General features: G+C 39.9%; 1 protein-coding gene and 1 long non-coding RNA gene across 11 annotated transcripts in view; one reads left to right on the forward strand and one right to left on the reverse strand.

The window, feature by feature from the left end:
- Nucleotides 1-15934, reverse strand: part of FOXP1 (forkhead box P1) — a 629271-nt gene that overhangs the window by 383088 nt on the left and 230249 nt on the right. The window lies entirely within an intron of this gene.
- LOC124906248 (uncharacterized) lies at nt 135-13181 on the forward strand. The gene is made up of 4 exons (XR_007095957.1): nt 135-224; nt 8764-8843; nt 12704-12839; nt 13092-13181. It is a non-coding gene; the product is annotated as an uncharacterized LOC124906248 (long non-coding RNA).

The following is a 15934-nucleotide window of genomic DNA, read 5'->3' on the forward strand; positions in this document are numbered from 1 at the left end:
TAACTAATCATTTCAATTATCATTAAACATTTATTAGACATTGGGAACAGAGAAGGCTATGGCAGAGTGGAGCAGCAGCATCCATGCCAGACAGACACTCCAAACAAGGGACTCAAGATATGTACCTCCGTTATACACAAGGAGGACGAGGAAGCGCTCGTTTCACAGGGCTGGACATCCTTAGGTCACAGTCATCATACCTCTGTACTGCTGCTGAGCTCATAGTAAGTATTAAGGAGGAATTTCCTCTGAAGAGATTCGAAAGAGGTGTACGAAAGGAAAAAATGAAAGCATGGCTTATGCTCTCATAAAATGTTTCTAAGCAGGATAAATGACATAAGAGAAATGGGAGGCTATATGTTCACACAGATCAAAGTGAGATCTGCAAAAACATGTGTTACATAAAGAGCAGAGGGCCTAAAAAGAAATTACTTAGAGGTCAAAACAAAGAATCTCAGAGAACAAATAGGTACAAAGGCAGGGGTGTCCACTAATCCTCTTCGGTTATTAGCAGGACAAGGGTCAGTGTTATAGAAAGTGGATAATTATGAGGGACGGATTTGAATAACCTAAAGAAAAAGGATGGAGAAACAAAACATCTTAACTACAAAATGCCTTTCCAACCCGAGTCTTTAATTATCCCAGGAGAGTATAAATTTTTTCTTTGAGACGGAGTCTCACTCTGTCACCCAGGCAATCTCGGCTCACTGCAAGCTCCATCTCCCAGGTCCATGCCATTCTCCTGCCCCAGCCTCCCAAGTAGCTGGGACTACAGGGGCCCGCCACCATGCCCAGCTAATTTTTTTGTATTTTTCGTAGAGGCGGGGTTTCACCCTATTAAGCCAGGATGGTCTCGAACTCCTGAACCCGCCTCGGCCTCCCAAAGTGCTGGGATTACAGGCATGAGACACTATGCCTGGCCAATATTTTTCTTTAAAATAATATAATGGATATAAAAACATAATGAGAAAAAAAATAGGACTACAGAACTTGCGATCCAGTGCAATAAAGAAGACACTAACAAAGGTGCATTAATGGTTAAAAGGTGTGGAAAAGCAGTAACTAAATTATACTTTGGTAATTGTGCAAGGTACCACACGCTAAGAAACACACTAGCTTTGAGTCAAGATAAAAGATGCCTATCTAGCAAAGAACACTAGGATGGTTTAAGGGGAAAAAGAAGAAAAAGAAAACCACTAACAGGGTCTAATTTCTCCCCCTATTCCATATCTGAGCCTTCTGATCTCAGAAAGTCCATCATATGTTTACTAGTGTCTGGATATGATCCAAATATTCTCTTCAGCTCTCTTTTACATTTTATTCTATCGAGAAAGATTTGGCAAATGAAATCTATTATGATGTCAAAAGGTAGCTGACAACATAAAATGTATCCTGCTGAGTTGATGCCGCACACGGCTAAATTTACAACAACACAAGTATCATAAAAATTATAAGAACTGCAAATTAACCACTGATTTCTAGTTCACTGACATAAATAATGGTAAGGACCTGGATAACTTCCAAACATCTTTACCACTGTTTAATTTGTCAAAATCTATCAAGAGCATTTCAACCACAAACCTGTCCTCTAAGGTACATTATCATTCCCACACTCAGATTAGCATTGGTGGCAACGAAGGAAGACTGTATAATTACTAGGGCTCCTGGAGGAGTCTCCTCTCCTTGTTGTAACTCTTCAGCGTATCAGTGTCTCACTCTTTCTTAAATACCATTCTTACTCTCAATTAGTTATTTAAGATCATTAAAAAATTGGGCTCTAATTTTGTAAGAGATGTCTCTCTGCTTTCAAAATTAGTCCCTCATTACAGCGTTAAGGTTCCTACTGGGCTCAAATTAGCAAGATTTTCTGTTTACTTCATATTTGTGAACCAGGAATGCTGGTAGCAGTATGGTACAAGAATAGTTAGCTGACGGCTGTTGGGAAACCCAGCAGGTAGGGAGGTAGCACATTGAAACAAAATGACAAAGACGATAATTCCTCTCTGAGAGAAAGTTAAGATACAGAATCACATGGCTTCTTCCACTAGCAATCCAATCTATGGACCATTCACATAAATGACAAGAAAAGAAAATGGCTTTAACATACATGTAAAATCTCTTCTGAAAAACCATGTTTCATTCATAGTGAATATACAGTCGTGGCTAAACTATTTTATTGCTCATAAACACCAAAAGATGTTTAACAATAATAAAAAGGCTGAAGAATTATTTCATGTCAAAGTAAATACCCTTTTAAACATCTTTAAGTGAGGAAGTATCTTTTGATGCATATGTGTATGTACCTGTGTGTGTGCATGGGTGCTTGCGTAGATAACCCCCTGCCCCCCTATTTTCCCACTGACATATGTCTAGAACAAATTTACAATACTGCTGAAAAGGAACAAATTAAGTGTTTGGCCATAGCACTGTTAGCAAAAATAATCAATCAGTAGCATCAGTGTCTAAGTAGAAACTATATATGTATTTGTGCAGAAACTAGACAGTTATAACTCTTTGATTTGTCCTAATACATTGAGTGTATGGAGATGTTTGACAGATACTAAGTAAATCTAGCATACACTACTTGTGCCCAAATTGGTTTATTTCACATTTCTGTATTTTGGGGGGAAAAGCAATTTCTGTATGACAGATGCACCTGGAGTTTGCCACGTGGCCTCCACACAGAAAGGGCTGTAGAGTCAGAGATTTAGCAACAAGAAAATTGCATTTTATTCTTATTTCTTAAAAAAAATAAAAAGCATATTTTTTCCCATGGAACATGTTTGTATTGAGTTAGTCCATGTCTACACAGAGTAAGTGAATAGTGGAGACGAAACAATGATCTGGGTAAATCAAAGCTCCCAGTCATCTGCTACTGAAGTTAATGTTGGTTTGGCCTCAATTGGACCCTACCAGCTGCCCACAATAAAAAAAATTAATATATTGATTAAATAAAGCCACCAATCCCTCATCTCTCTTTACCTGTGTAAATATGGCCTAAATGTCTCCATCAATGTCAGGGAGCCACTATAAAACTAAACTTTTTCAGAGAGTGTTTTAATTCTTAAACACTAAAGCTGAATGAAGTTCTGAGAGTGGGTAACATAAGAAGAGTTTTCTTTTGCTTGCTTTGAGAAAATCTTCACCTAAAAACAGAACCCCAAAATATATGAAGCAAAACTGACAGAGCTGACAGGAGAAATAGACAACTCCAGAATAATAGCTGGAGACTTCAATACTCCACCTACCAATCCTGGACAGAATGAGGCAGAAGATCAGCAAGGAAATAGAAGGCATGAACAACACTAGGAACCAACCAGGCCTAGGAACCAACCAACCAGACATCCATCCATAGCAACTTCCACCTAATGACAACAGAATATACACTCTTCTCAAGGACACTCTCCAGGATATACCATATTCTGAACCATAAAACATGGCTCAGTAAATTTAAAAGTATGTTATCCAATTACAAAGAAATGAAATTAGAAATCAGTAACAAAAAAATGTGGGAAATCCATAAACAAGTGGAGATTAAACTATACACTCCTATATAACCAACGAATTAAAGGAGATTAGAAAATACTTTGAGATGAATGAAAATGAAGACATACTAAAACTTATGAGGTACAGATAAAGCAGTACTCAGAGGGAAATTTATAGCTGTAAATACCTATATTTAAAAAGAAGAGGCAAGGCGTGGTGGCTAATGCCTGTAATCCTAGCACTTTGGGAGGCAGAGGCGGGTGGATCACCTGAGGTCAGGAGTTCGACCAGCCTGTAATCCCAGCTACTCGGGAGGCTGAAGCAGGAGAATCACTTGAACCCAGTAGGCGGAGGTTGCTGTGAGCTAAGATTGTGCCACTGCACTCCAGCCTGGGCAACAGAGTGAGACTCCGTCTCAAAAGAAAAAGAAAAACAAAGAAGAAAGATTTGAAATAAAATATTACTAGGATTTAATCAACTGGTTAACAGATCCACCAACATATCCTAGAGCTTGACTCTCCAGTCGTAAGACTGAACGACTTCTACAGCAATCATTTTCACTCAGTAAAGACAAAGGTTTGAAGTTGTATTATCTGGAATGTTTCAAAGTTATTTATCCATGGAAGCTTGTGGTAGAACATGCATGAGTCGCTTCTCAATGATTTCCTAAGTGAGGAAACTGAGATCACATAACAAGTTAGCCAAAAATACAGCTTTAAAACACAGGCTTCTGAATTTGAATCTTATGTTTTTTTCTGCTACATAACTAGTCTTATGAATTTAACTTTTTTGCCGCTTATCAGATTTACATGCTGCAAGCTACTAAATCTTTGGGTTACTACTGCCATTCTCTTTTCTAGATGTCCACATGAGGTTCCATGTACACATCAGGAATTAATTACAATCTATTTTACAAATCATTTCATAAATCAAGGATGAATCTTTATTCCTGAAATCACAAGGGACTTATAGGAAACCATGTGATGTGGTCTGAGAGACCTGAAAACTCAAACCCTATAAAGATAGTGGAACAGAGACCATATTATTCCTAGTCAAATGATCTAAGAAGGCAAAGCAGTGAAAAATCTGGATTATAAAAGCAAACAGGCCGCACATAGTGGCTCACACCTGTAATCCCAGCACTTTGAGAGATCGAGGCAGGTGGATCACCTGAGGTCAGGAGTTCGAGAACAGCCTGATCAGGAGTTCGAGACCAGCCTGACCAACAAGGTGAAACCCCATCTCTACTAAAAATACAAAAATTAGCCGGTCGTGGTGGCAGACTCCTGTAGTTCCAGCTACTTAGGAGGCTGAGACAGGAGAACTGCTTAAACCGGGGAGGTGGAGGCTGCAGTGAGCCGAGATCACGCCATTGCACTCCAGCCTGGGTGACAGAGACTCCGTCTAAAAAAAAAAAAGCAAACAGACCTTGATCCAAGTCTAAAATCTACCTCTTTCTTTTTTTAAATTTTGAAATAATTACAGACCACAAGAAGTTGCAAAAATAGTACAATACCCATATACCCTTCATCCAGTTTTCCCCAACGGTGACATCTTGTACAGCTGTATACAGTATCAGAACCAGGAAATTAGCATTGACATATTACTGTTAACTAAATGACAGATTGTATTCAGTTTGGGTTACTTCTTCTGTAACTCTAGGCAATTTAATAATAGGCAATCTCTCTGAGCCTCACTTTATTCACCTGTAACATGAAGGTGGTAAGAGGAGCTACTTCATAGTACTTACAAGAACTCAGTAAGATGGTGCTAGTATATTGCTTATAAAAGTAGCTGTCACACAGAACAAATGGCCAGATTATAATTATTAAACAAAACTTCTGGGATTTCCAGTTTGCTCTGACACTTTCCCTGAGGTCCTTCCTACTTCTCACTAACATAGAGATGGCATCTGCCACCATTTATAGTTTCATCCCAAAGGACAAAAACACTAGAAAAACAACAGAATGTAGCCTACTCTAAGGACTAAAAGGAAATGTAATTCAAAATTCCTCTTCTTATGTGCATACATTGATTTTTTTTTCTTTAACTTAGTGTTTCCAACAGTCAAATGACTCAGGTGCTACTGACGATGCCCTTTGAGGCCTCTAGGAGAGAAAGGACTGAACTAAATAAAATAGCTGGATCTTACACCAATATCTAAGAATAATCTTACACTTTAAATGGCTTTGTGTCCTTTTTTGTTGGGTTACGGGGCGGGGAAGATAAGTTCTTTTTTTCCCCCTACTATGAGTTTTTAAATCTCAATTAGATTTTTTTTTTTTTTTTTTTGAGATGTAGTCTCACTTTGTCACCCAGGCTGGAGTACAGTGGAGTGATCTCGGCTCACTGCAACCTCAGCCTCCTGGGTTCAAGCAATTCTCCTGCCTCTGAGACTACAGGTGTGTACCACCACACCTGACTAATTTTTGTAGAGATGCGATTTCACAAAGCCTAGACTGCTCTCGAACTCCTGACCTTAAGTGATCTGCCCGCCTTGGCCTCCCAATGTGCTGGGATTACAGGCATTGAGCCCATCACGCCTGGCGTTCAATTAGATTTTCTGAATCAAACAGATTAAATGCAAGCCTGGATCTACCCTGTCACAGTTTCCAAACCTACTGGTGTCAACACTAAGGAAAGCAGGACTCTTTAAGAGCCGGGTTTTTTCATTGGTCTTAAATAGATCTCTGTTTGGATATATTTTTTTGTACATGCAGCAAAGAACTACATATAGAAACAGTTCCAGGCGCAACCAAGGCCTTCCCATCTGGGCACTATCCCACAGTCCTGTTGGCCCTTGCCCTCAACCAGTTGTGTGAGTACATCCGCCATCTCTCTGGTTGTGGCATTGCATACGCATATCAGTACTAAGAATGTTCCAGGACCTTCCCTCCTTCACAGCTACGTTTTAGGGATACGAGTATTTAATTTATAATGAGGAAAGAAGAACTCTGCTAGAGTTTCCCCTAACCCTAAAATGTTCATACTTTGAGAATAGTTGAATGGAAAACCTTAAGGAATTTTTTTCTATCTTTTTTTCTATTCTTCTGTCGTTTTGCAAATTAGCTGCATTTTCAAAACTTGCCACCCACAAACAGTGTGAAACACTAGTGTCTGCTGTTTCTATCAACAGACATAATTTGGAATCAGTTAAAACGACAAATAATATGTCCACTAATCAGCCAAACAGCTAAAGTAGACATCTTTGGTCCATTTTAATACCCGGATTTCTCTTCTCCAAAAATCAGACCAAATAAGAATCATATTTGAAGCTGGGTACTGTGGCTCACGCCTGTAATCCCAGCACTTTGGGAGGTCAAGATGGGCAGATCACCTGAGGTCAGGAGTTTGAGACCAGACTGACCAACATGGCGAAACCCCCTGTGCACTAAAAATACAAAAAAATTAGCCAGGCATAGTGGCATGCACCTGTAGTCCAGCTACTTGGGAGGCTGAGGCACGAGAATGGCTTGAACCTGGCAGAGGTTGCAGTGAGCTGAGATGTGCCATTGCAGTCCAGCCTGGGGGAAAGAGCGAGAGTCCGTCTCAATTAAAAAAAAAATCATATTTGGATCATTTTAGCTCTGACTTCAGATTAGGGCAGGCATCTTAAATGAAATGATTTCCAGGAACATTACTTAGTGCTAAGATCATAGGAAAATAATTTAACAAATACAGAACTAGACACATTCTATACTGCATATATCAACTAACTAGTTTATAAGCCTTGGTGTCCCAAGATTCATTTGTAATTGAATCAAAGAAAATATTTGGGGATACAGGGAAGCAACTTATTTTTCATTTTATAAAATATACCAAAAAAGGCTGGGTGTGGTGGCTCACGCCTGTAATCCCAGCACTTTGGGAGGCCAAGGCAGGCAGATCTCAAAGTCAGGAGATCGAGATCATACTGGCCAACATGGTGAAACCATGTCTCTACTAAAAATACAAAAATTCGCTGGGTGTGGTGGTGCACACCTGTAGTCCCAGCTACTCGGGAGGCTGAGGCAGGAAGATTGCTTGAACCCAGAAGGCAGAGGTTGCAGTGAGCCAAGACTGTGCCACTGAACTCCAGCCTCAGTGACAGAGAGAGAATCTGTCTCAAATATATATACACACACACACACACACACACACACACACACACACACACACACACATATATATACCAAAAAGATCAAAACCTGGTTTCCTAACTGAATTGAAAAGATGCCTTTAGCTTTGTGGGCCACTATCCCTTGTCCAGTTCTAACTGCCTTTTTCTCAACATGAACATATGTTTCCCTTAAAATTACTTCTTTTTTCCTACCCTGGTGTTATGCAAGATCCCTGCTTATTTTGGCGATGAAAACAAAATAAGAAGAGCCACCCAGAGTTCTCCATTCCAAAGAGAAGAGCTTCCCAAGAAAAGCAAAGTTTTGCTGTTGTATTTCCTTTCAGCACTGCTGAGAGCAGGCGGCATTCTTCAGTGCAGAAATTCAGTGCAGATGGGGGAGCTGGTCCTGAAATACCTATTAGAACCATGAACAGCAGGTGCGGGCAGGGACTACCGATAGGCTATAGGTTTGAAATCAATAAAGTTTTTGTAAAAAAAAAAAAAAAAAAAAAAAAAAAGAGGAGTGAGGTGGTTAAGTAGGCCCAATATGCAATGAGACAAAGTGCTTTTCAAGCACAAAATATAAGGAAAGGAGAGGCTTGGTATTTCAGAGAGAGCCGAAGAAAAACTAAACTCTCAGACTGAGAAGGCAAAGTTTGACTTTATTTCTATGATCAAAATCCTCACAAAAATGGCCATAGGTCTAGGTGAAAGCTTTAAAAATTTGGGAGGGGCTAGCATGCTTATGTAAGAAAAACAAAGAGCAGCTTGCATATAGGATATTGGTTTCAATGAGGGAAGGCGAATGCCAAGAACAGTCTAAGAATTAAGCACTCACATAATAGATCACTGTGAGCAAAGCTCTCCTGCAGATGTTGGAGTTGGTGATCTAAGCCTCACACTTGGAAAGGTTGTGTGACTGGAGCCATGATATATAAAGTAAGACCCAAGCGCCAAAGTTTTGATTTAGCCAAGCAAACGTGGCTGTTTTTGTTGGGTGGAAGAGGCATTTTTTTCACTGAGCAAAGAATTACGGTAAACATCTGCTAACCATGACCACAGAAGAGGTGGTTGTTTTCATCCAAGGTTATTTTAAAGGAATAAATTTAATTAATACAACCACACAGTAATAGTATAGTATCCAACCTTATAATAAGTCTGCTTGCTTCTATCCACAGACCTATTCACTAAGGAAGCACCTAATCGAGAAAGTTTCCTAATGTTGCCTTTATGGCTTCTTGAGGACCACGGATGCGGGGTAAGACTTTTCCATCTCAAGGGATGCTTGAAAACCCAAGCAGACTTCAGTTCTTATCTCATTCCTTAGGCAGTTTTTTTTCCAGAGGGTTCTCTTGCTCTATTAGCAAGACTTTATATAATACACATATTATTTAGGCAACTAAAGCCCCATTAAAAAAAATTAATGAGGCCGAGGCGGGTGGATCATGAGGTCAAGAGATAGAGACTATCCTGGCTAACATGGTGAAACCCGTCTCTACTAAAATTACAAAAATTAGCTGGGCGTGGTGGCACGCACCTGCCTCAGGGAGGCTGAGGCAGGAGAATCACTTGAACCCGGGACATGGAGGTTGCAGTTAGCCAAGATCGCACCACCATTGCACTCCAGCCTGGCAACAGAGCAAGACTCCATCTCAAAAAAATTAATGTTCTAATGGGTTGAAAGCTTTACCTCACATATAAATGTCCCAGACCGCATCTTTCTCTCAAACTGCTCCTTTGAAAGTAACTATAAGAATTAATAGAATCCAGAATGGTTTGGGTTTTAAAAAATTCCTTATTTGGTTCTTTCTTTAAGAAGGAATGGGGTGGTAGGGAAGCTAGTAGGAAGCTGAATTATTCAGGCTGACTGTCATTCAGATCCGTCAAATTACAGCTCAAAACATCACTTTACCTTTGAACAACCAGCCATACCTGCTCCAAAATGAAAGTCACCCATAATTATTATTAAATGTTCCTAATTAAGATAAAATAATCAAATTCATAAAAACCTCCACTTCCATTCTGACTTAAACAAACTTCTGCCTCTACCATCAATATCAGCAGAGCCAGAGCCTTCTAGATTTAGAAAAGCTGGTTTTGCATAAACTACATGCTAGCACTGAATAAAACTGAAGAACTAAGGTTTACTATTTCTGGCCTAGGGTCATGTCAATATCATCAATCAACAAGATACTGAGTTTGCTGAATGTAAAGAACAGAGTCGGCTGGGGGAGGTGGTTCATGCCTGTAATCCCAGCACTTTGGGAAGCCGAGGTGGGTGGATCACCTGAGGTCGGGGGTTCGAGACCAGCCTGACCAACATAGAGAAACCCCGTCTCTACTAAAAATACAAAATTAGCCAGGCGTGGTGACCCATGCCTGTAATTCCAGCTACTCGGAGGGCTGAGGCAAGAGAATCGCTTGAACATGGGAGGCGGAGGTTGCAGTGAGCAGAGATCGTGCCACCGAACTCCGGCTCAGCAACAAGAGCAAAACTCTGTCTCACAAAAAAAAAAAACAGAGTTGTCCCTCATTATACACAGGGATACAGTCCAAGAGCCCCGGTGGATGCCCAAAACCATGATTAGTACTGAACCCTATACATATGATGTGTATTCCTATACATGTACACCTATGAAAAAGTTTAATTTATAAATTAGGCACAGTAAGAGATTAATGATAACAAATAACATAGGACAATTTTAACAATACTGTAATAGAAGTTATGTGAATGTGGTCTCTCTCTCTCTAACTATTTTCTTGTACTGTACTCACTTATTTTCAGACCATCATTGACTGCTGGTAACTGAAATCACAGAAAGTGAAACCATGGATAAGGGGAAACTACTGTATTTTCTCTCTTTGATTTATCTATTTCCCGTAGAACTAGAACACAGCAATTCATAAAGGCCAGACTTCAGTAAGCTTATTGAAAGAATAAATACTAAATTCATGAACTCCATTTATTCCAACAGTTGTAATATCAAACAGGGTCCCAGATGTTGGACCAGGCTAAGAGCAGCTTAGAAGCTTGGAGTGGGAGGCTGTTGGTGTTTCATCTTTTCCACCCACTAGTCTTCAACAAATACCTATTAAACACCTCCCAGGTGCCAGTTGCTGTGTTCAGTGTGTGTGTGTGTGCGTGTGTGTGTGTGTGTGTGTGTGTGTGCGTGCGCGCGCGCACGCATATGCATGTGTGTATAAGTCACACATGCAGGTGTGTATGTGTGTGCACACGCATATGCATGTGTGTATAAGTCACACATGCAGGTGTGTGTGTCGAGCAGAGGAGGGAGTAAAGGGGGAGGTGCTATCATTTGAATGTTATTGATACTAGACAGAATCTTGAGGGGTAATTAACACAGGTTTTAGGATTCACCAAGTCTGGAAAATTACTCTGTGTTTGTCTGTTCACCTTCCACAATGCTAACTGTTATGTGTGCTAAGAAAGTAAAGAAGGTAGGCAGAGATGAACATGGAAGAAGCAAGCAAGTTTTTGATACCCCAACTTCCCTTAAGTGATGATGAACCATTAGACAAGAGACCGGACTACAGAGGCCGCAGTCTATTTAATAACCATCAATGCCTTCAGCTATAAAACAAAGCCAGCCTAATGTAGCCCACTAATTCTGCCCCAACACAGTCAAGTTTCACTTCTATAAGTAACTCCAACATCAGAGGCCACTGTGGTCAGAATTGGAATATAACCATGTGCCACTACACTAAATTATGCTTAAATAAAAATGCAATGCATCCATCATATTTGTATAATCAAGGTATTAAATCAGCTATAATTTCCAAGCCTTAAAAGAAAATTCCAAGATTTTATGTATATTCCTAGTGAAAGATAATGTGATGAATGCCACAATAAAAAAATAACTTAGCAGGAGGAAATAATTTTTATCCTTTTTAAATTTTCCTTATGAAATGCATCATTTTAACATAACGCACTTCAACAGTTACCCATAAATGTAAATTTGTTTTGATAAAATGAAGAGCCTTTTAATCCAAATTGCACAGTGATGCTTCTACACTGATCTGTTATAACTTAGTAATCAGAGTTAACAGACTGCCTAATTAACCAAGTCATCATTTGCCAAGATCCAAATATGGGATGAATTGTGGGCCAAGGAGAAAATATGATGGACATGAAAATTATTAATTCAGGGAAGCATTAAAAGCATGTGAAATTAAAGTTTTTTGCTAAATCTCACCATCTTTAATATCTTTAATTTTTAAGGTGTAAGTAACATGCAAAAATAAAAAAAAAAATTCCATCCAGGGCACATGGAAAAACATTTATATCAAGTAGCTAAATGGACATAACTAAATGTTAAGCTTTTGACAACCAATGAGGTATAAAAATCATAGATACCCTTTGATAACAAGTAATATTGACAGAGGGCTTACCAGGTGATAGAACCATATTTGGTGTTTCACATGCTCCAGATGTTTATTCTCTATATCCCTAACCCTTCAGGAGGTACTATTTTTATCCTCAGGTACCAGATGAGAAAACTGAGGTTCAAAATATTCCTTTGCCCCTAAGAATGTATGAATAAACAAATAATATCCGATCCTTTCAAAATTATTAGGAAAGTGGTTGTTAAAATTCTGTAATTTAACTCACTGAAGTTTTTCCCAAGAAGGTTTCATCCATTCACTTATTACGTATTTATTAAGAAACAGGAGATGGGGGTGACTTGGAAGATGTCAGATGGCTCACCTGTACAAAAATGTTTCATCATCAGGATATTATTCCCACCACTTACATTCTTTATGTGACCTAAAAGACATATGCATTTTGACTGGGCTAAGCTACTTTATAAGCCAATTTTCCTGGGTCATTCAAAAGCAAGTCTGAATGTTAATATAGGGTTTAATCCTACTAAGTCCACCAAAAAGACCGTCTTTCCCTTGGCTACTTGGCAACTCCTGTTGATCCTCTGAGGCATCATTCCTGCTATGAGGCCCTCCAATCTCCCTTCTCCAATCCCCTCCCCAATCAAAACGCACAATACACCAGTATTCTTGTAGCTTCTCTATCACCATATTATAACTGACTTTTCTGTCTACCTTGCACATGTAAGTATGTTAAAAGCAAGCATCTTGCCTTAGGACGACAAACTGTGGCAGATGGTAGGTGGATGGTTGAAGAGAAGAATGAATAGAAGGAAGGCAGGAAATGAATGAACTCTAGACTCCTCGAGGACAGAGGCATGGTAGCATTTCTGAGGCACAGCCCACTCTCAAGGTAGGAAATGTCATTGAAGATGTCAAGCATTAGGCAGACAACTTTCTGGGAAAACTCCCATAGATGACATTCAGTTGTGGGTTAGCTGAACCATATGATATTTAAAGGTTCCTTCCACCCTGTAATTCTATGTATTTGCTGTGTATCAAGTATAGTACCCGACGTGGTACATAAACATAGTTCACTTTCCCAGAGTTCTGTCTCCTTCTGAAACCAGCACTCTTTTCACCTACTTCCCATTGTTTTGTGTAGGTCAAAGGCCATCCATGCCTTTAGAGATGGACACATGACCCATCCTAGGCCAAGCAGGACCTCCCACCACCCCCAACTCACTCCTGCTCCAGCTCCAGTAAGTGTTTCACCGAAAGGCATGTGGCACACACCAGACCAATCACAGAAGCAGGAAGATCCAGATTCCATGACAGCTGCTAGAACTCTTAAGAAAAGATCTTTTCTGCTGGAGTTGCTACAAAAACAGACTCATGAAAGGTTATCCTGCCACAAACAGGGAATCGCCTCCGTGAATGAATCCAACAGGGAGCACAGCACAGCCAGAAGACTGCCACCAAGACTTAATGGCATGATCGGAACCTCCTGCTCCAGATTTCCCTGGAGCTAGTTCCACAATCTGACTTTTCAACATTATGAGCCAATTAATTCCCCTTTATGACTAAGCTGGTCACTCAGAACCAACAAGACCTAAAATATGGTGAGCTCAGTATTTTAAGGCACCGACACTTTAGAAGTGGGCTGTCTGCTCTTTGTGTTAACAAGGCAATATGAACACTTCAAACCTTTTAAGTCAAAATTGCTTATTTGTGGTCTCTTGAAACTGGCATTTATACATTTCTTCAAGCCTAATATTTTACTAATATTTGAAGGTCAAAGTCCTTGGCATACAGCTTATAAACCTATAATTCTACTGACTAAGTAACCAAAGGTCTTCTACTCTGTTAGCCAATGTTACCTTTCAGTACCCCAGATTCACCCTGGTAAATAAAAAGCCTTCCAGGTGAATGTTTCCAAGAACTAAAAGAACATTCTGAACTTGCTTGCTGGGAAAATGCCCAGGTACGGGACCAAAGCTTTGGGAGGGAGACCCTCTCACTTTTCACACAGGTGATTGAGCAGAACAAATCAATTATTAGGTGGTCAGAGGCTAATATGAAGTAAAATGAGGGCTAGAGAGATGAGGTTAATTAGAAAAATGTCCCAGAGAAAAATGACTCAAAGATCTAGAGAAAATGTCTTAACAGGCACATCCAACTGGAGATAGAAGAATGGCAATTAAGTGGTTGTCCTTGTTCCTAATCAAATTGCGACACACTTTTATTTCCCATAGCTCTTGTGTTAGCAAAAAGAAAGCATTTGAAGAAGTCTAGTAAGATCAAGCAGGGCCTATTAGATAGCATTGAAGTATAACAGCTCCACATGCAGTCCTAGAGTGAAAAGTTTATGTGAAAACAAAATAATGCCTGCAAGTCGATAACCCCAAGAATATGTGTGCGTGAGGAAGACTGCATGGCATAGTGATTAAGAACCAGGGTACGGCTGGGTGTGGTCACTCATGCCTGTAATCTCAGCACTTTGGGAGGCTGAAGGGGGTGGATCACCTGAGGTCAGGAGTTCGAGACCAGCCTGGCCAACATGGCAAAATCCTGTCTCTACCAAAAATACAAAAATTAGCCAGGCATGGTGGCATGCATCTTAGTCCCAGCTACTTGGGAGGCTGAGGCAGGAGAATCGCTGGAACCAGGGAGGTGGAGGTTGCAGTGAGCCGAGACTGCACCACTGCACTCCAACTTCAGCCTGGGCAACAGAGCGAGACTCCATCTCAAAAAAAAAAAAAAAAAAAAAAACACAACAGGCTACGAGGGGAAGGAATTTCTAGGTCCAGATCCTACTTTGCTCCATATAAGCAGAGGGCTCTGGGTGAGTCATTTAACTCACTATTCTTCAGCTTCCTCACCTGTAAAATGAATTTTTAGAATGATGATTACTTCACAGAGTTACTATGAGTTAATAAATATCAAAGGCTTAGAATCATGTCTGGCATACAGACAGTAAAGGTAGCTATTATAGGGTAGACCTTTCAAAAGCTAGAATGTTTCTCTTAAAAAACTGCTGTTTATTGAGATTTTTTAGGGTTAGATTTTTCATGAGTTTAGAAAATTCTACTTCCACCTCTCCCTACTTTTTAAGCATGCAGAATATTGGTGACAGCACGAAATGCAAGTTCTTCTAGGTACATACATACAGATAAACCTAAGAAGGTCTAAGCACCAATTATTCTAGGAGTAGAATCCCAAAGAAACTGCCAGGTTTAGGAAGTGAGTCAGGAGTGGGAGACTATTTTGTGTCACCATTAATGACTGGGGACAGATGTGGACAAAGACAGGACACAGGCTCTCCTGGTTGGAATACCCAGGGCAAAACCTTTACTGATCCCCTGGGAAAGCTGGCATTAAAAAATTCAGCCCTAGAGCATCTTAGCCAGAGTCACCTGGCACTGAGAGACTGCTGAACCAAATTGGACTCAGACGATGCAGCAAAATTTCAAAGCATTAAAGTAAAAACCCTCAGAAAGCTCCTAATCTTCCCCGCTGCTCCTCAGGCACCAGGGTATTGAGAAGAGGGCAGCACAAGGGCTGATCTAGGCCCTCAAGCATCCCGCGTAAACTGCCTGATCAAGTCTCATATTACACGGATCTGTTTCCCCTTTCACGAATTATTATTTTAGTTTCTGAAGTGATATTTGGAGACAGGGGTGTTATATATTTTTAGAGATGCAAAAAATCTGGGTGTTAGCCACTCTGAGGGTTATCATGAGTCTAACCAATGTTTTTTTTTCTGATTTATTCACTTACTTTGACTGAAACTTACTGGATTTCATCTTTTCCTTTCCTAAAAGGATATTAGTAACCACGTTTGATGCCTTAAACTATATTTTAATCATGTCCTTTTATTGTTAAGTTGCAAGAGTACAAGTTATGAATTAATAAAAGAAATGGCTATTTTAATTTCCTAGATAACCCTAGTTACTCCATAAGTCGTGTAAATAAGAGTATATGATTTCATAGATTTCATTCTTGTCC

This window comes from Homo sapiens, chromosome 3 (genome assembly GCF_000001405.40).
Source record: "Homo sapiens chromosome 3, GRCh38.p14 Primary Assembly".
Classification (NCBI taxonomy): Eukaryota; Metazoa; Chordata; class Mammalia; order Primates; family Hominidae; genus Homo; species Homo sapiens.